This window comes from Homo sapiens, chromosome 14 (genome assembly GCF_000001405.40).
Source record: "Homo sapiens chromosome 14, GRCh38.p14 Primary Assembly".
Classification (NCBI taxonomy): Eukaryota; Metazoa; Chordata; class Mammalia; order Primates; family Hominidae; genus Homo; species Homo sapiens.
Genome location: NC_000014.9, coordinates 59,521,396 through 59,542,166, shown reverse-complemented (window position 1 = coordinate 59,542,166; position 20,771 = coordinate 59,521,396). Strand labels below are relative to the sequence as shown.

Here is a 20,771-nt window from a genome sequence, read left to right as displayed (position 1 = left end):
CAAGTCAGATTTTTCTGTGCTCATTGTATGGGAGAATGATATCACCACACAAAGGGAGACACATGATTTAAATATAGGACAATCAAGAAGCCAGCTTATAGAACTAAGGTAGGGGGTGATGAAAATTCAAGCACATACCAACAGATATCTGGAATGTGACAGGAAGCATAGGTTCCTTGCTTGAATGGTTGTCCCCATATTGTTAAATAATATATTCAAACATCTGTTTCCAATTATGTCAGCTTCATAAGGAAAACTACGAACTACTAATAAAAGAGGAGGAAGATCGATTTGGACTGAATCAGGTTTTATGTTCCTCATGAATAATGCAAATTTTATAGTCAGTTACTGTGCATAATTGCTCTGGTCACCAGGAATCTCAAAGCCAAATTTGTGGCCCAATGTTATTATCCATTTAGGATTTTTTTATATTATTGTTGCTTTATTTTAAACTGGTTCAAGTTCTTTATGGATTACATTAAATATGTAAATAAACAAAATCAGTAAGGTTGGGGTGAATTGTGAAGACCCTTAGAGATCCAGAGGAGGATATTAGATTTATTTTGGTAGGAAATTGAGAGTCCATACTACAGTTTCAAACAGACAAAGAAACACGAGAACAGGTATGTTTCTAGTTTATTTAAGAGTGTTTCCTATTCTAAGTTTCATTTGTGAATATTTCTTTCAAAAGATATAAAGCAGCATTTTACTTATGTGGCTTTCAATTCATTTCTGTCCAAGAATCACTTAATAGGGAAAAGGCGGGGCTGGGGATAAAAATAAAGGCTTCTGTTACCTATGTTGGAATCTTCACATTTCCATCCATCCTACCACAAGAAAATCTTCTATCCTTAGTTAGTACTTTTCCCCAGTTCAAGAAACTATATTGGCTTTCTGAATTGTATATTATATCAAATCAGAGCTCAATCTAGGGTCTGGAGTTCCTCAACAATGTGTTGACCTTACTTCCTCTTGTGTCATAGGGTTATTCTTTCCTTCATGTCCTCTGTATACAGCAAGCCTAACTTAAGTCATAGCAGAGGCCTGACTTGCTGTTCCTTCCCTCTGTATTTGCAAATGATGACACCCTTTCCTTGGTAAGATTGCACCTCCATTCTGGCAATCCACATTCCTCCCTCTGAGAAACATTAACCTCTAGTAACCCTTCATCAGTTGCCTCCCCAGAAATCTCTTCTCTATCCTTGGCTATTCACCACAACCGTTGCAGAATCAGTTTGCACTAACATAGAATTGCAATTGTCTATCAGTCTGCCACTGAAATGTTTAGTTGTTTCACAAGGCTTATTTTGTCTCCCAATTAGACTATAGCCTTACTGAGCATACAAATTATGCGTATAGAGTCTATTGTATATTCTAACAGCTCCCATAAATGCAAAATCCAATATGTTTTTCTTTTTAGAGCAACAAAAACAGTGTATCAGCAACAAATCAAAATCCTGAGTGCTAACCTGGAAAGAGAAAGTCAGAGATGGTAAAAAAAAAAAAAAAAAAAAAAAAGTTTATTTGTGTTTTGTGTTATCAGCAGTATATGTTATCTTAATGAACAGTGCAGAGTACTTGTTGTTACTAGAACCCAAGGGAATGATTTTCCTAAATTATGTGTAAATTCTCTCGGATCTAGATGTATTGGTTAATTTGATTTTTTTTTTTTTGGCATTGAACAGAATCAAAGTTTTCCATTTCAATCAAGTGCGGTCACCAAAGAGTAAAATTGCTAATATTTGTGCAATGCCTTTTGCTCATCCAGGCCTCTTTGTGAACCAGTAGGGGAGGTGACAGGTATGGTAAGAGAGGAAGGTGGCGTGAAGGCTACTGGCTCTGCAGATGGCCTGCTTTGGTTGCTGTCCTTATTAGCTCTGTGACCAAGGCTAAGTTATTTAATCACTTCTCTTTGCTCCCATCCCTATAAAGTGGGGAAGGATAACAGTATCTACCTTATAAAGTAGCTGTGAATGTAAATGAGATGATACATGTAAAATACTGTATTTAGATCAGTGCAGCTAAAAAGCTCTTGCTTATACTTAGCTGTATTTTATTATCGTTGTTGTTATTGTTAGTATTATTATTATTATTTTGAGACAGAGTCTTGCTCTGTCGCCCAAGATGGAGTGCAGTGGTGCCATCTCGGCACACTGCAACCTCTGCCTCCCAGGTTCAAGCGATTCTCATGCCTCAGCCACCAGATTAGCTAGGACTACCGGCACGCACTACCACTCCCAGTTAATTTTGTTTGTTTGTTTGTTTTTGAGACGGACTCTCACTCCATTGCCCAGGCTGAAGTGCAGTGGAGTGATCTCGGCTCACCACAACCTCCGCTTCCCAGGTTCAAGCAATTCTCCTGATAGCTGGGATTACAGGCATGCACTATCATGCCCGGCTAATTTTTGTATTTTTAGTAGAGATGGGGTTTCACTATGTTGGCCACGCTGCTCTCAAACTCTTGGCCTCAAGTGATCTGCCCACCTTGGCCTCCCAAAGTGCTGGGATTACAGGCATGAGCCACCATGCCTGGCCAATGTTATTATTGAATGTGCACTTAAAGACTCTAATTGCACTTTTTTTTTTGAGACAGAGTTTCACTCTTTTTGCCCAGGATAGAGTGCAATGGCACAATCTCAGCTCACCGCAACCCCCACCTCCCAGGTTCAAGTGATTCTCCTGCCTCAGCCTCCCAAGTAGCTGGGATTACAGGCTTGTGCCACCACACCTGGCTAATTTGTTTGTATTTTTAGTAGAGACAGGGTTTCTCCATGTTGGGCAGGCTGGTCTTGAATGCCTGACCTCAGGTGATCTGCCCGCCTCGGCCTCCCAAAGTGCTGGGATTATAGGCGTGAGCCACTGCGCCTGGCCCTAATTGCACATTTTTACCATTCTTCAAATATGTAGCTTTTTAATGTTGTGGTGGAGAAAAATTTGAGAAAGCAGAAGTTTGAAATCTATCAGTAGCACATCCGGTAATTTAGGTAATTCTATTACTATTTCTGCCTGGGCCTCATTTTCCACTTGCCCCAAGCCTTCCTCATTTCTATCCTTTACCTGAAGGAGGCAAGCTGCCAGGTGTGCTTTGTTCGCTGTTCTATTGGAAGTGTAGATGTAACTTCTTACTCTGAAGCAACTTGCAGAGACAGAATTGAGGCAGTTAATGTTTTGTCTTACTTTTTCATGCAATGTGTGTAGTCTGCAACACTAATAGCACAAACAATTTTGTGTAGTCATAGTATGACTTGTTTTGCTTTGAATTTCTTCATCTTTTTAGTAAACTGCTATGTCAATTTAATGGCAATTCTTTTTGCTCTAATCTCTAGTGTTATAACTCAGTGGAAAATGGCTTGCTTGAGAAAAAAGCATGCACGTTGGACAGCCAAGATAAAAGCTGAAATACAAGCTATTACAGAAAAAATTCAGAATGCAGAAGTTAGACGAATTGAATTACTTAACGAGGTAAGAGAACTGAAAGAACTTAGAATTAGTCCCCTACATTGCATATCAGCAATTCTCCTTTAATATTTAATTAAATCCTATCTTATTAAAAAGTATTTTCCTTTCTGCTGATTTCATGTTTAGAGTGAGTTATTTGATTTTCTTAGGAAATGTATTCACTTGCTGTATATTAACTAGAGAGAATTAGCAAATACAGTAGAATATGCTTTTGAAGCATGTAACCAGAAACTTACTTGAGGTTAGTCTTTAGGGGAATTACCTCTAAAAATATGAGCCCATGTATCATTTCTTTAAGCTTTTATAGTTACCCTCTGCTCACTCACTGTCCTCTACCCTCCCCACTCCTCATGTCATATTTATAAAAATATCACTTGGTGAAGAACTTAATTTCTGGAGGAAAAAAATATTCCTCTCAGTGGTTGCTGAGAAATTATATGAACTGAAATCAGAAGCAGGCCTCCTGCAAAGAGATATTAATTTCCTGGCTATTCGAAAATGTAAGGCTGATCACTACAAGAGAAATGACAAATTCTTATTTTTCTCTAATTAGACCAGTTTCAGACAACAGGAGATCAGTGGATTTGTGGCACAGATTGAAAAACTTACAACAGAATTAAAAGAAGAGGAGAAAGCATTTGTTAACAAAGAAAAAATGTTAATGAAAGAGTTAAGCAAGTATGAGGTAAATTTTATTTTGCATCTAAGAATACTTTTGGATGACTACATGAGGGGGAGGGGGAATAATATTTCATGCTATTCTAATCAGTTAAATGTAAAATAAATATTCTAGTATGAAAGAGGCTACAATTTCATTCTGGATCTTTCTTCTTTTCCTGAAGAGGAAGCAGAGCAATAAGAAATATTTTTTCAGAAAAAATAATAATAATAATCACACTTCAAATTATGTAGAACTGTTGGCAATGGCCTTAGAGACAGGTGGAGTTGTGTAGGAAGCCATTTGGAGCTGGCTTGAAAATAGCTGGGGCAAGGGAGATTAGTAAAGTCAGTCTCAGATGTGCTCTTTAAAAAGAGGGTATCATGCTGTCTTGAGAACTGCCAAAAGCCAACCTGAGATAGAACAGGGCATGGATGCTGGGGGAGGTGGAGAGAAAAGCCACTGAAAGTACCCAGAAGTGCCAGGTCCACAGAAACACAATAAAAAAATGCACCTTCCCAAGGCGATGATATTACCCTGGAGGCAGCCATTAGCAGAGCAGCTGAGAACAGGGATGGTGGTAGAAGCCTTCCTGAACTTGATCAGGTTTGAAAATGAAGAAGAGGTCTTGGCCACACCAAAGAGGGGCTTTATTTGAAGGAAATAACCCCATACTGCAGGATGAAAATAGGGAGCTTGGAAATTTCCTAATTTAGAGTCTTTACCTGATCCAAGTTGTCTTCCCCCACCCCATCCCATCCTGCCACATCCTGCAGAAACCCTCTGCAGATGACTGGCCCAAGGACAGCCAGTTCTTTCTATTAATAATATTAATAACCAAAAGAAAGTAGTCACATTTTTCATACAAAAATACTAGGAGAAAAACTACTGAAAAGAGGAGCAAACTTTCCTACAAATGAAGAACACTCAGAAAAAATGGTGGCATGGAACAAATAAAAACTATGATCAGGCCAGGTGCAGTGGCTCAGGCCAGTAATCCCAGCACTTTGGGAGGCCAAGGTAGGTGGATCACGATGTCAGGAGTTCAAGATCAGCCTGGCCAAGATAGTGAAACCTCGTCTCTACTAAAAATACAAAAAAATTAGCCAGGCATGGTGGCATGCCCCTGTAATCCCAGCTACTCGGGAGGCTGAGGCAGAGAATTACCTGAACCCAGCAGGCAGAGGTTGCAGTGAGCCGAGATCACACCACTGCACTCCAGCCTGGGCGACAGAGCGAGACTCCATCTCAAAAACAAACAAACAAAATACTATGATCAAACATTCTTCTATGAATTTAAAAAAATAATTTAATAGCAGTACAAAGGAAAATTATTAGCATGGAAATGTAGACACTTAGGGAAGAGATGTCAGAAGGTGAGGGCCAGAAAATAGGAAGAGGTGAAACAGAAACCGGTGCAACTCGGGGAACAAACGAAGGAAAGATGACACAAATGACTACAATGTTAGAAGAAACGGGGTGAGGGGGGAGAGGAGGCGGGGTGGAAAGCATTAGTCTAGGTGCCTGGCATTCTTCTAAATGCTGAAAAACAGGCAAAAACTCTGCCTTTATGGAGCTTTCTATCTAGCACGGGGGAATGAAAATAAATGAGATGAACAAGTAGTATATTGGATGGTGATAAATGGCATAGAGAAAAATCAAGCAGGGAAGTGGGATAGGGAGAGTGCACGTGATATGGTCTGTGTGCTGTTGTAAATAGGGGTAGTCAGAGAAGGGTCCAGCTCTGAATATAAGGCAGGGTGCCCTGCAGATGTCTGCAGGAGATGGCTCCGGGCAGAGGGCATGCTAGGCAGGAAGGGCCTGAGGCAGGACCCTCCTATCTAAGGAATCACAAGGGGGTGGGGTTGCTGAATAAGAGCTGGGGAGTGCCAGGGGTGGTGGGAGTCATGTTCATGAAGCAGATGCTGAGATGGAATTAGGAGTGATAAGGTATATTAGGGAGAAGTATCTATGACAAGATTGGGCAGGGAAAGCTGTCAGGCCATTATGTAGCCTGACAAACTCTCTCTGGGGAGCTCTGGAGCAAGGATTGCCTGTTAGAAGAGGACTGCCTTGGGCAGAAATGGCTTCCTGCATCCTTGTACCACCTCCTTGCTTAGTCACTGACTGGGACTGCCCCAAAGGAGCATGATATTGGCTAGATAGCTGAGCTGACCCTGAAGGAGCCAACTATTGGATGTGTGAGCTAAACACATTCCTCACAATGGTGTGGCGAGTCCGCCTTCAAGGGGAGATCCAAGTGGAGCATCAGGCACACCCTTATAGGCCATCATAAGTACTTTGTCCTTTGTTGTGTCTGGGCTAGAAAGCCATTGGAGGGTTCTGAGTGGAGAGCTGAAATAATCTGAGTTTTTCCTTTAATTAGGATCATTCTAGCTTCTATGTTGAGTGGAATTTAGGAAAGAAAAGGGTGGACATAGGAAGAACAATTAGGGAGCTAAAGCAATAACCCAAGTTAGAAATGAAGGTAGCTTGAACAAAAATGGTAACCAAAGAGGTGTTAAGAAGCGGTCAGTATCTCAGATATTTTTGATAATTTTACCATCATGCCTACTGGTAAAACAATGAGGGCAATCCCCTTTGAGTCATGAACAGGATAAGGAATAAGGATCCTATTTAACTTTTTACTCAAGTTTATACAGTGCAATTAGGCAAGATACATAAAATAGAAGCATAAGACTTGGCAGATGAGATGATCAGTAGATCGCAAAACTCAAGAAAATCAACTGCAAAACCACTACACACAAGCCTCCAGCCTGCACTCGGCTTGCCAGGCTGTGTGCCCACTGCAGGACTGTGTCCACCCATGCCTAATTCACACAAAGGGATGGGCCAATGACAGCCTGTGCACCATTATTATATAGCAATAACCCAATTTCCCCTCGATAATCAGCACCAATAACCTCAGGCACATTGTAATCCCATTTCTGCCTTTGATTCAGTGGCATGAGGAGCCCAAAATTAGAAGGAAGCAACCTCACATTGTGGTTTATGAAACTATTGTTGTGCCCCTGGTGGAACCATTTTTCTCCCCACTAGTATCTCTAAATCAACAGAACCCAAAGTCACACGGAGGAAAAGCAAAATCATTAGGTTTAATAGTGAGAAGTCCCACTACCATTTGGGTCTCTGACCCATACATTCTAAGGAAAACAGCCCTGAATATTAATTAGATTAGTCACTGGTTCATAATATAAACATCCCAGTGTTGGGATGTGTTGTCGACAGGGCAGTGCTGTGGCTGACTTTTCCATAGGCCTGACTCTGATACCGGACCCTCCGTTGTAAATCTTCTATCAGAGCTTGCCACAGATTTTTCACATCATCCTGATAAAGCATGGACAAGCCCAGGCCAAGGACCATTCACTTTTCTGGGTCCTACAGCCCCGTATATGGCAGAATTTGATCAGAGAAGCAGAGCTGCCAGGAAAAGGGTTTATTATAGGACTTGACCTTCTGCAACTGTGATATCTAGTTACACAGTCTGGTGAGGCTGTCAGCTTTACATCTGGTGCTGGGGCCTGAAGTCAGCAGGGCAGGTACTTGGGATGGAAAGACCAACAGGAAGTGAATGGAAGCAAAAACAAACTAGAACTCACAGGATGAGCGAGGGTGGACTGGAATCTGCATTGGTCTCTCTTTTCCAACGCTCCACCTTCAGGGAGATGGGGGACCTGGATCAGAAACTGGAGCCTGTCATCACTGATCTATAAATATGCATGTGGCTTAGGAATCAGAGACAATGAGAAAGGATCTAGAAGGATCTGAAGACCGTGTGAACCTGACTGGCTGCCCCACTCCAACAACCTGAGCCCACAGGCAAGCAACTTGCTACACTGAACCTAGTACCCCACAGTCTCTTTCAGAGAACGGAACAAGAGAATGGCTTCTTATCACAGCAGCCCTGGGAACCTGAGCTGCATACAGGCAATGGAATGAATTAATGCATGCACATACAAACTTGTATTTACAGGCTATTCTTGTTTAAAAAACCTAGTATGGATAATACAGGATTGCGTTTCTTTTTTTTTTTTTTTTTTTAAAAGGGGTCTCACCCTGTTGCCCAGGCTGGAGTGCAGTGGCGCGATCTAGGCTCACTGCAACCTCCGCCTCCCGGGTTCAAGCGATTCTCCTGCCTCAGCCTCCCAAGTAGCTGGGACTACAGGTGCATGCCACCAGGCCTGGCTAATTTTTTTGTATTTTTAGTAGAGACGGGGTTTCACCATGTTAGCCAGGATAGTCTCGATCTCCTGACCTTGTGATCTGCCCGCCTCTGCCTCCCAAAGTGCTGGGATTCCAGGTGTGAGCCACCATGCCTGGCTGGATTGAGTTTCTTAACTCAACCTGCTTAAATGTTGCAGTCTGGAGAAATGTACTCCTGCTTCTGCATTATGATATTTTTGAATTATGGTATTTTTCTATGCATTTTAGCTTCTTTGTATTTATTCATAAGGATGCTAATGGCAATTTGGGAGGAGACATATCAGCCAGCATATCGGTGTATTAGTTAAGGTGCAAGAAAACTACTCTATCAAAGATATGCTAAAACACAGTGAACATAAGCAAGATGTGAAAAGGGTTAACAACCCTCTTTCCTTTTTCATTGGGAAACTGGCCCTGGGTTAACCACTTTCTGGCTCCTTCCCCTAATAGCCTGATGAAGGTAGAATATCAGCTATATTATGAAGCAACATTGCTTGTATAACAATGACTCCTGATTTGTATGCTGCATCTTGACTGGAAAAATAACCCATGGGAAACTGTGGCATTGGGCTTCCCTGGGTTTGGTGGCTCTCTTAAGTGGGTATGCCCTTTGAAATCTGGAAGATACGTCCAAGAGATATTAGTTCCTATATGAACATGGGGTTTCTAAGCCAGGGAGACTATAACCCCACCTGTGTGAGTCTCTCTGTCTCTCTTGCATCTGAAGTATCACTTTGGTGGGCTTGAAGGAAACAGCCACTGGTCTGCTGTCTTGTGCAGACACCTCCCAATAAGGAAGCATGCCTGGCACTGCCCTGCTAAAACTTAGCATTTCCTTCCAATTATGTGTGCATACAACTTGGATAAAAATGAAAACCAAAACTAAAAGTTTTTAAGAGTAAACTGGGACAAGTGTAGCCTAATCAAATTTTGTGAGTCTGAACATCTAGTCGGGAAGATGCTCAAAGGGGTCATTACAGCAAGAGAGATGTTTGTTTCTCTTTCCCAGTCCAGGCCATAGGGAAGGGGTCCAGGGCTGGCAGGGTGGCTCTGCCATCCTCAGCATGAGCCTAACATCTGTGCGTCAAGGAGTAGCTTCCATTCTCATTCTCCTCTGGCCAGGGGAGGGAGGAAAGGAACAGGGGAGCACACAGCTGTTCCTGTTGCAGGAGCAGAGCCCAGAAGTGGCACACATGACTTCCATGCACAAACTCCTTGGTCACACCCACCCACAAGGGAAGGCCAGAAACCACACTCTAGCCAGAAGCCATGTGCTCAGCTGAAACTCAGGAGCCCTAATATTGAAGGAGAAGAGAACAAACATTAAATGTCAGCTGGTGGTCTCTGCCTTAGTCACCATTTAAAATCCATCCTGATTTGCTAAGAAAGGTCCAACTATTATTCCATTTGAAACTAAACAAAACTTGAGTTTGAATAAGTAGGCAGGCATCTTCATGTTTTGCTTTGGGCACTTTTTACTCATTTATTTTAACATTATATCCAATTACTTCTATCTTTTTCCCATTTCTCACATCCAACATTTCTTAGAAGTGTATTCTGTTTATCTGCCTCTTTTTGGTAAAATATTACTGAAGGAAATTTTCTCAGATATGTTTTTGGGCTGTATACATGGTAGTGTTCATAGAGATATAGCAGAAGAGGTTTAAAGCAGAAGGGATCTTTAGAGAACCAATTGAATCTAATCTCCTTACTTTGTGGATTGTCAGAGTGTCAGTGAGTCAGGGAACAAATATTTATTAAAAGATTAGTATATGCCATATGTCTTTCTATGTACCTCAGGATAGGAGACCAAGACAGATGAAACTCTTTCCCTCAAAAAACTTATATTCTACTTTAAATTGTTGTGTGAATTATCCAAAATTATATTTCTCAATTGATTTTATTTTCTTTAAAGGAAATATTTGTTAAGGAAACACAAATTAACAAAGAAAAGGAAGAAGAACTAGTTGAGTATCTTCCACAACTTCAGGTGGCAGAACAAGAGTATAAAGAGAAAAGAAGAAAGTTAGAAGAGCTCAGTAATATTATTACAGGTACATATGAAGCATTTAGTAATTAAACTCAATCCCAGGTAAGGATTTCACTGTCATCTTCTAACACAAGGAGGTCATCAGTTACAAGCCAATGGTGAAACTCACCAAACTTTCCCCATTACCTTTAGCCCTCTGTTCTCTAGTTTTTGCTTCACCTACTAATTTCTCCTCCACACTACCATCTTACCATTGCTATTGTCAAAATTTTCCTTTTCTCTTTTAAAAACTATTTAAGACTTAGTCCTTTACCATATTATTTTCTTTCTCTCCATACTTGGGAAAGGTAGAACTAACTCATTTGTTTGCTACCATGTGGAATTTTTTTTGTATTTTCTTACCGTGAATTTGCAAATTATATCTCTTTTCCTGCTATGATTTTAACCATTTATTGAGTAAGCACTCCTCAGATTTTTTTTTTCACTAACTTCCTCCTGAGGCACAGATAGGTAAGAGCTTGTCTCAGATCTGAGAGTTAGTAGAGGACGTGAAATATGTCCGAAAGTATGCATATTTTAAATTATATTACATGGTATAATCATGCATGTTTAATATAAAAATAATTATTTTCTCCACAAAAAATTGGATGTAATCATTCAACCCTGTGCCCAAGGTCCAAAGTTTATATATCCAGAATCTTTTTTTTTTTTTAAACAAAACCAAAAACACACAGGGTCTCACTATGTTGCCCAGGCTAATCTCAAACTCCTGGGCTTAGGAGATCCTTCTGCCTTGGCCTCCCAAAGTGCTGTGCCTGGCCCAGAATCATCTTTTTGGGTTTTGAGTCTTGTATTGCATTTGGTGAGTAGAGGGTCATTATCTAAGGAATCCGCCCAGGTCTTTAAGCAGGAACAACTTCCAGAATTTGTATCTTCTAGATGATGAAAGAAGAGACATGGGAATCAGAAGGCCAGGACCAAAAGTTACAGAAAGGACTACAATGGGAACAAAAATTGTCTACTGGTTAGCAAAGACAAATATGGGGATAGGAATTAAAATCGCCTGTGTCAAAATGGGACATTCATATGGAACCCCAATATGTTCAAATGTAGAATAAAAAAATATTCAGAAGTGAATAGTGATTATTGCCAAGGAGGGTGGATTTTTAAAAATGTAAGAATGTTATAATAATAATACATGGGTAATTGGCCTGGTACCCACTCCTCAGATGATTTTCCACTTTCTTGTCAGGTTTTCATTTAGTCAACTTAAGTAGGTTTTCTTGGCCTCTTATCACTTTTACCCAGACTTACAATACATATGTCTCTTATTCCCAATTTTCTTTTCTTTTCCCTTCCCTCCCCTCCCCTCCCCTCCTCTCCCCTCCCCTTCCCTTCCTTTCCTTTCCTTTTCTTTCTTTCTCTCTCTCTCTGTCTCTTTCTTTTTTGCTTTCTTTCTTTCTTTTTTTGAGATGGAGTCTCACTCTGTTGTCCAGGCTGGAGTGCAATGGTACAATCTCTGCTCACTGCAACCTCCACCTCCTGGGTTCAAGCGATTCTCCTGCCTCAGCCTCCTGAGTAGCTGGGATTACAGGTGTGCGCCACCATGCCTGGCCAATTTTTGTATTTTTAGTAGAGATGGGGTTTCACCATGTTGGTCAGGGTGGTCGTGAACTCCTGGCCTCATGAGGTCCACCTCAGCCTCCCAAAGTGCTGGGATTATAGGCATGAGCCACCACACCCAGCCTAGTCCCAATTTTCTACTTTCCCAGCCATTCTTCCTATCCCTTTGTTTACTAGGTAGAGGATGTAAGAAACAGTAGGAGTATAAAAGTAAGCAAAAACATTGCAAGTACTAAATCTCTTAATGTAAACAAAGGGGAGAAAATGCTGAAGAAAGTAGATAAAAGAGAGGAAGACAGGAGAAAAGAAGTAAAAGGAACATAAGAGTGGGAAAGTTGACCTGCCAGCAGTTACGCTTGCAGAGAATGGCATGCATGGGCTCCATACACAGAAAGCTTTTAGTTAAATCTGATGGATAAAGCATGTACATATATCTTTGTTCCCTCATAAAACTCCCAAATATGTATATAAAGGTTTTTTTTTCTGAAAAAGATACAAATCCATAAGTACCAAGACACTGGAAGAGATAAGACATTTGCTATCTGCTGATTTATTATTTATTTATTACCTGATAATATCAACAAATTTTGGGAAGATGTAATTGGATAGAGGCAGAAAGAGAAATATAAACACCAAAAGCCTGCCAAAAAGGGCACGATGAAGGCAAAAAGTTCTTTCCCCCAAAGCTGTAAAGTCATAGGCAGTGGCATCCCCTGAAACTATGACAGCTGAGATGAGTCACAGGGCTAAAGGTTGGTTGAAAGTCTTTATAAAGAGCAATTAGAGCTCCAGGTCAAATCCCCTTCTTGTGCAGTTAGCTGAGTGACTCCTCCTCCTCAATGCTGGCAAAAGAAACTGGACCAGATGGCTTCAGACCGCAAGGCATCAGATATGGCTGAGAGCAGAAGACAGGTACTGTACTGAGATCCCCACTGAGATCCCCTCTGAGCTCAGTTTGCTGAATGCTGCCAGCCAGTGGTGTTGTGAACTCTTCCATAATCCCTTACCCCAACCTGAGGAAGGAGACTAACATATTCTTCCTTAAAGGAAACTGAACAATTCAGAGAAAAGCCCCACAACAGCACCGACATTCGATGGTCCCCTCAAATGGCTGGTTCCTTCCTGATCACTGTATATTGAAGCTCACCCAGGACTATTAAATGGGATCAGACAAAGATCTGAAGCATCCAGTGTGAAAGAGAAACTGAAATGGACAGAACAAGAGAACTTGATGGAAACAGAGAAAATGCAAAGAGCATAAGCATACTTTTAAAGAGTATATTCTTAGAGAAATAAATATATTGCATTTTTGAAAAAAGAAAATGATGCTTAAAGATTAGAGAACAGAAAGAGCTCTCAGAAATTAAAAGTATAATAACAAATGTTAAAATTCAATAGGAAAATTATAAGAAAAGTTAAGAAAATCTCTGTAAAAATAGAGCAACAACAACAAAAAGAGATGAGGAAAAGGAGAGAAAGGCAAGAAAATTTAAAAACTATTCTGAGATGCCAAATATCTACCAAACAAGACCAGAAAAAAATCAGTGAATAATGCTTACATTATTATAATGATCTAAAGAGTTAAAATTTATTTAAACGAAAACTATAACTTTATAGGAAGGTTAGGGATGAAATGTAGAGGTTGTGGGTGTGGGTGGGGGATGTGGGAATGGGAGTAAGCATGCTAAAATCTCCTCTACTATATATGACGAAGTAAGTAGAAACTGCCTGACAATGATAAATCAAGATATAGCCATATATTCATGTTTTTAAAGAACTAATAAAATTATCAAAGAAATAATACAAAAATATTTCTTATAACTAGAGAATATAGATTTCCATTTTTAAATGTCCAAGCAAATCCCCAAAACAATATTTAAAAGAAAAGACTAAGCCATATTAGTGTGGAATTTCAGAAGGAAAAATGGAAAGAGAGGATCCTAAAAGCTCCTAGAGAGAAAAATCAGATCTCACACAAAATATTAGAAATCAGAATCATTTCAAACTTCTTAACAGCAATATTATAGTAGAAGTTATAAGACAATGCCTTCAAAATTTGAGAGAAAATAATTTCCAACATTAGATACCCAGCTAAACTATCAAGAATATAGAATAGAAACATATTGAGATATACAAGATCTCAAAACATTTATCCCATTTACTCTTTTTCCTGAAGATGTCTAGAATTTGCTTCAACAAATAGAATAAATGAATCAAGAAAAAGAGTATAAGAAATTTAGGAAACAGGAGGTCCGACATAAGAATAATACAAAGGGTTCTGGTTGAATAAAACCTTTAAAAAAAGAAAAAGAAAAATGCAAAAGGAAGTCCAAAGAAGTCAGCTGCAAAGCAAGCACAAAGAAAGAAAAGATTCCAGAAGGCATATCTCAGAGGGAGGTTCTGAGGGAGAGGGGAGAAATGAAACTCACAGATATGTTAATGTGTTTGACTATATGTGAAATAAAATTTGAAAGGTTGTACAGTTCTGTTGTAGATTTGGTATGAATTAATTATATGTACATGAAACACTGAGCAATTTTTTAAACAAAGCAATCTTTAACTCCAAGAAAAAACAAAAATTATACTAAAAAGAAAATCTAATCATATTATACCATTTGGCTCATCGGGGATAATCCTTATTGCCATAATGATCTAAATGGTTACAATTTATTTAAACAAAAACTATAACTTTATAGGAAGGTTAGGGATGAAATATAGAGGTTGTAGGTGTGGGAGAAGGATGTGGGAATGGGACTAAGTAAATGGAAAATGCCTGAAAATGATAAATCAGAAAATAGGCATATATGCATATTTTTAAAGAAAATTGAGCTAAATGGAAGAGGAAACAACTAAAAAGAGTTAAAAATGTTTGATTCTGAGGAGTCAGACAGGAGTAAACATAGCATTGTGGAGTGCCTGACAGTTGGTTTTTGTTATAAACCTTGTGAGATAATTTGATTTTTAAAACTAGGTACTTCTTTGATTAATATTTTTTAACTAAATTTTTGAGGTAGTTATTTTTTTCTTTGTTTTAATAGCACAAAGACAGGAGGAAGATTTACTGAACAATCACATTTTTCTGTTTACAAGGGACTTTTCAAGATACATTAGCAACATGGTAAAAGATCAATGCATTAATTCTTTTTTTTATTATTATTAGAATAGTGGTATATACAGATGGTAGTATTTACCTGGCATTGAAGTTTTCATGAAATCCACATTTGTTAAACTTACCCATTCAATATCAATGTTTAACAATCTTTGTTATAACACATATATATGCACATGTATACACATACACCTGTACACATATGCTATGTATGTATGTGTATATATGTATACTTATGTGTATATGTATACAGAGAAAGAGGGAGAGAGACTAGAACCAACTAACATGTACTTGTGGAACAGTCATTGAGTGGACCTCGGTTTTCTTATTTATAAGTTAGAAACTTGATTCTGCTTTTTAAGGGTGAGTGAACAAAGGTTGCAGTGGGGGAGTGGATGAATTAGCAGCAGGTAAAGAGATGTTTAGTGCCTTTTTAAAATTTACAATCAACAGTTGGTGATAAGCATATGCATGTGGAATTGGTTAATTAAAAATGGAAACATTCTCTGAGATGCATTGATATCAAAATGTAACTTTTTTTTTTTTTTGAGATGGAGTCTCACTCTGTTGCCCAGGCTCGAGTGCAGTGGCACAATCTCGGCTTACTGCAACCTCAGCCTCCCAGGTTCAAGCGATTTCTGGCTAATTTTTGTATTTTTTAGTAGAGATGAGGTTTCACCATGTTGGCCAGGCTGGTTTCGAACTCTTGATCTCAAGTGATCCGCCTGCCTCGGCCTCCCAAAGTGCCGGGATTATAGGTGTGAGCTACTGCACCAGGCTTCAAAATGTAACTTTTAATACGTTATAAAATATGAAGGAATATATAGGAAAATATGAAGGAGAAAATTACAAGTATAGTGTATATACAGTTCCATTTTCTTAATAAGATGCTTCTGGTGATGATTATGTAATAATAAATATCATGCAACTTATAATAGTATAATAATAGAGAACTGAATAGAGAATTCAATAGAGAAAACATTAGAGAATTCTGAAAAAATTCATAATCTTCTTCTTTCTTCAAGAAACATTAAGTCCTCCTTTAAAAGCCTCAATACATTTCCCCTTCTCTATTTTTGCTGGACAATTGTTTATATATCAAAGTACAGTCATCCCTTGATATCTATGGGGGATTGGTTCCAGGACCAACATGACTATCAAAATCCACGGATGCTCAAATCCCTTGTATGACATGATGTAGTATTTGCATATAACCTACCCACATTCTCCAATATACTTTAAATTATTTCTAGATTACTGATAATATCTAATATAATGTAAATGCTATGTTAGTAGTTGTCATACTGTATTGTTTATTATTTGTATTATTTGTTGTTGTTATTATTTTTATTTTTGTGAATGTATTCTATTCATGTTTAGTCAAATCCACAAATGCGGAACCCACGGATACAGAGGGCTGACTGTATATTTTATTTTGTGAAGTTGTCTCAAGGTCTGGGGTTCTTATCTTGAAGTCCACAGACCCCCTTCCTAGAGTCCATGAATAAATGTGGGGTTGATAGGTTTTTCTAAGGAAGAATATCTATCCTCTGCTGGATACTTCAGAAATTAATTTAGAATCTGGCTCCAAATGTGACCTAGGCAGTATAATACCCTCGTGCCCTACTGTTTGAACTCAGAGATAATTTGGGGTTTTCTGTTTGAGCAGGAAGATGTAAAACAAGAATTACAACAATTACGAGATCAAGAAAGCAAAAAAAACAAAGATCATTTTGAAACTCTAAAGAACTTAGAAAATGGATTCTATATAAATGACCAAAAAGCAGATCTTCTGCTCCTGGAAAATAAAAAATTAAAAGAAGTAAGTTTAAGAGCACCATCCTTTTCATGATGGCTTTGATTAATTGACTAGACCTGTAATAGTTATAAGAGAAAAGAAGAGAATAGCTCTTGAAAAATGTTTAATGGAGCATAAAGTACACACAGAAAAGTGCCCAGATTGCAAGTGTACAGCCCCATGAACACACTTGTGTACCAGGACCCACATCAAGAAACAAAGCATTATCAGTATCCAGATATCCTCTATGCCCCTTCTAGTCACTAACCAGCCCCACTAAGGGTACCACCATGCTAACACCATAGGCTAGTTTTCCCTGGTTTGGAACATTATAGGTATAGAACAATACAGTGTAGGTTCTTTTGCTCAACATTATGTTTGTGAGGTTCAGCCTTATTGTTGAGTGTAGTTTGTTATTCTTAGTTCTGTATAGTATTGCACTGTATGACTACTACTACAATGCATTTATACACTCGACTATTGATGGATATTCAGAGAGTTTCTAGTTTTTGGCTATTACAAATAGTATTGCTGTGAACATTCTAGTTCATGTTTTTTTGGTGAACATACATACATATTTCTGTTGAGTGTACATCTCAAGTGGAATTGCAGAGCCATAGGGATGTGTATCTCCAACTTTAGTACATACTACCAGTCTCCCAAAGGAGTTGCACCAATTGCCACTCCCACCAGCAATGCATGAGAGCACCAGTTGCTCCACACTCTCACAAAACTGTCTTTTTCAATTTAACCATTCTAATGGGTGTGTAGTGGTGCCCCACTAATTTGTGTTTTCCTGATCACTGTTGAAGCACCTATTCTATGTTGCTGGCCTCTTGGATATCCTTTTTTTGTGAAGTGACTGTTCAAGTCTTTTGCCCGTTTTTTAAAAAGTAGGTTGTCTATTTCATACTGATTATAGCTCTTTTTATAGCAGAGGAATTTGTTCATCCAACCCCTAAAATTAAAGTCTATTTATACTTAAAATGTATTCGTTTTAACATTTTAAATGTTATATTTAATAATTAGATATTTATAAGATACTGATTTTTAATGCCCAGAACTGTTGCATTCAAAGCATATTTTTAAAGTGTATAGAGTCCAACATTTTATATACTGTGACAAAACAGTAACAACAAAAATTTACATAATATTCTTTAGTTTGAAAGACCTGGATTAGAGTCTGTCATTCACCAGTGACACTGTGTGACTTTGGGCAGATCACTGAACTTGTAAGCTTCATTTTGGCCTCTTAAAATGGGAATAACTGCTACTCACAGGTTGAATGTGACTTTTTTTTTTTCTTTTTTCTTTTTTGAGACGGAGTCTTGCTCTGTCGCCCAGGCTGGAGTGCAGTGGCACGATCTCGGCTCACTGCAAGCTCCGCCTCCCAGGTTCACGCCATTCTCCTGCCTCAGCCTCCCGAGTAGCTGGGACTACAGGTGCCCGCCACCATGCCCGGCTAATTTTTTGTATTTTTAGTAGAGACGGGGTTTCACCGTGTTAGCCAGGATGGTCTCGATCTCCTGACCTTGTGATCCGCCCGCCTCGGCCTCCCATAGTGCTAGGATTACAGGCTTGAGCCACCGCGCCCGGCTGAATGTGACTTCTTTATAAACTGAAAAGGCAAAAGAAATACCATTTCTAAAATCCTTTTTTTCCAGCCATCCATAATGACCTCATGGTCAAGATCTGTTATCAATGTACCCCAAGTGTTTTGCACAATGCCTGTAATGTTAGAGGGATTCAGTCTCATTTGACGTTTAAGACTGTAACCTTAAAAAGTGGATAATACATTGTGTCCCTTTTATAGATGTGTAAATTGAAGCTGTATTTTTTTTAGAAGTTTTAATAGCTAGAAAAAAATCAGTGACTAGTCCAATGGCATGAAGAAAATCCTTCACCTCGCTGGGTAATTTTTTTCATCTGTTAAATGGCAATAGTTATCCCACCACTCTCATGGGTTTTTTTATAAACTAAAATGGCATAATAGGTACTAATGTACTTTGAAAAGGTAATTGTGCTCCAAAGAGCCTAGATACATACCATCATTGATAACCCTCACACATGCAATGCACCTTCATTCTTCTAGACCTTGAGACAAACTGATTTGTTCCACTAGACTGTCTTCCTATCAAGATATAGATTATTTCTTAAAAGAATTGGAATATGTATTGCTATTTTGGCAGTAGGTGAGCAGATGGATGTGTGGATGAAAGACTGATTATGAAAGTCCTGTTTTTTTTAAATTCAGTGTCCATCTGCTAGTCACCGAATGACTCTGTGCTGTTTTCTTATTCACTCACCACTCAGTTTTGCTGGTTGCATCTCTTTACTCTAAACATGCACTGAGTCCCAAGCACTGGGCAAGACACAGTAAATACAGAGATAAGTAAGATACTGCCGCAGCCCTTTGGAAGCTCATGGTCTAGCTGAAGAGATGCACATAGAAACAGATCATTACAATTCAGTATGTTAAGTGCAACAATCTGAACAAGACACATACAGTGCCCCAGAGCAAGGGAACCTTGCCACACCAGGTGAAGAACACAAAGGAGAACTCTCACTGTGTATCATTAATGTAGAGGCAGGATTTACACCTGGGAGATGGATGAGTCTCTTCAGGGACAGTGTGTTAAGTGAGAAGATTAGGGGCTGTGAACAGAATCCTGGAGAAAAACAACTTTGAAGGAGTGAGCTGTGGAGAGGAGATAAAAAGAGAGACTGAAAGAAAATAGAGAGTTTGGGAGAAGCACAAGAGTCCAGCTGAACTAGGAAAGTCTGCAGACCCATGGTCAAAGAGGGGCAAGAATGTGGCCTTGCGGTTGGCTTAAGGTGGCTTTTACTTTTGTTTACTATAATATCAGAAAACAAGCTATGAAAAGGCTGACACAACATCAAAGATACATGAGTAGACCCTATAATACACGCTTAGAAACAGTCTACGTAACAGTCCCATGTCTACCTCATCTGTAGCACTGAACACAATTTCAAAGATTTTTATGGATAGTTTATAGTATTTGTTTCTTTCTTGAAACTGGACCAGTTTTATGTCCCAAAGCCCATATTTCCAGAGTTCCTGGGACTTTAGAGTTTCTGGGCATTGGGTGGTCAGAACAGAAAGCCATGACTGTAATACTCAAAGTCACCTGTCACTACTGCCACCACTGGCACCCAACCCAGTGAACATCTGACTTGAGTAAGTAATTCCATGCAGTCTCCTGACTCAATTAATCATCTCTCTGAGGTCTTACACTGAATGCCAGTCTGGCAGCATTACTGCTTTGTGACATCTACTGTACACACATTTTGCATAAGGAACATTTTTGTTGTGGACATATTGCATTCAGACAGAACACCTTCTAATTTCTTTTGGTGGAAAATTATACTCAGAATGCCATGTTTATTTAAATGCTGAAGTGAAATGCTTCATAGGAAGCAGAATCCTTTATCTCCTTTCCCAGGATGGAATCCTGACCAAGGTATGTTTTATTCCCCACTGTTACCCCTGTACCTAGAATAGTGGGTGGCGCAGAGGAGGAATTTATACATGTTTGCTGAATGACTACATGATAATTTATCTATAGTAACTAAACTGCTAAAAGCAATCACATGCTTTTAATTTTCAGTATATTTTATACTTGAAGAATAACATAGAGAAATACAGAGAAGGACAAGAAGCCCTCATGCACACCTCAAGCGACTTGTCTCGGCAACTAATAGCTCAGGAGGGTAAGTAATGTGTGGGTGCTTGTATTAGTCAGGGTTCTTTAGCGGGACAGAACTAATAGGATATATGTATATATGAAAGGGAGCTTATTAAGGAGAACTGACTCACATGATCACAAGGTAAAGTCCCATGATAGGTCTTCTGCAAGTTGAGGAGCAAGGAATCCAGTGGTGGATCCGT

The 20,771-nt window shown here is 39.1% G+C and overlaps 1 protein-coding gene across 12 annotated transcripts in view; it reads left to right on the top strand.

Moving 5' to 3' along the window:
• The window catches only part of CCDC175 (coiled-coil domain containing 175), a 71,746-nt gene that overhangs the window by 34,646 nt on the left and 16,329 nt on the right, over positions 1-20,771 (top strand). For 3 of the 12 annotated variants that reach the window (XM_011537120.4, XM_047431746.1, XM_047431747.1), the window contains 7 exons: positions 1,421-1,492; positions 3,327-3,462; positions 4,013-4,144; positions 10,257-10,395; positions 14,993-15,072; positions 16,730-16,885; positions 20,491-20,593. In XM_011537120.4, the coding sequence (XP_011535422.1) occupies positions 1,421-1,492; positions 3,327-3,462; positions 4,013-4,144; positions 10,257-10,395; positions 14,993-15,072; positions 16,730-16,885; positions 20,491-20,593 (818 nt within the window). Of the gene's footprint in view, positions 1-1,420; positions 1,493-3,326; positions 3,463-4,012; positions 4,145-7,799; positions 7,962-10,256; positions 10,396-11,270; positions 11,464-14,992; positions 15,073-16,729; positions 16,886-20,490; positions 20,594-20,771 lie in introns of those variants that run through there. The other 9 variants (NM_001164399.2, XM_011537122.4, XM_047431749.1 and 6 more) reach the window with 9 other exon arrangements.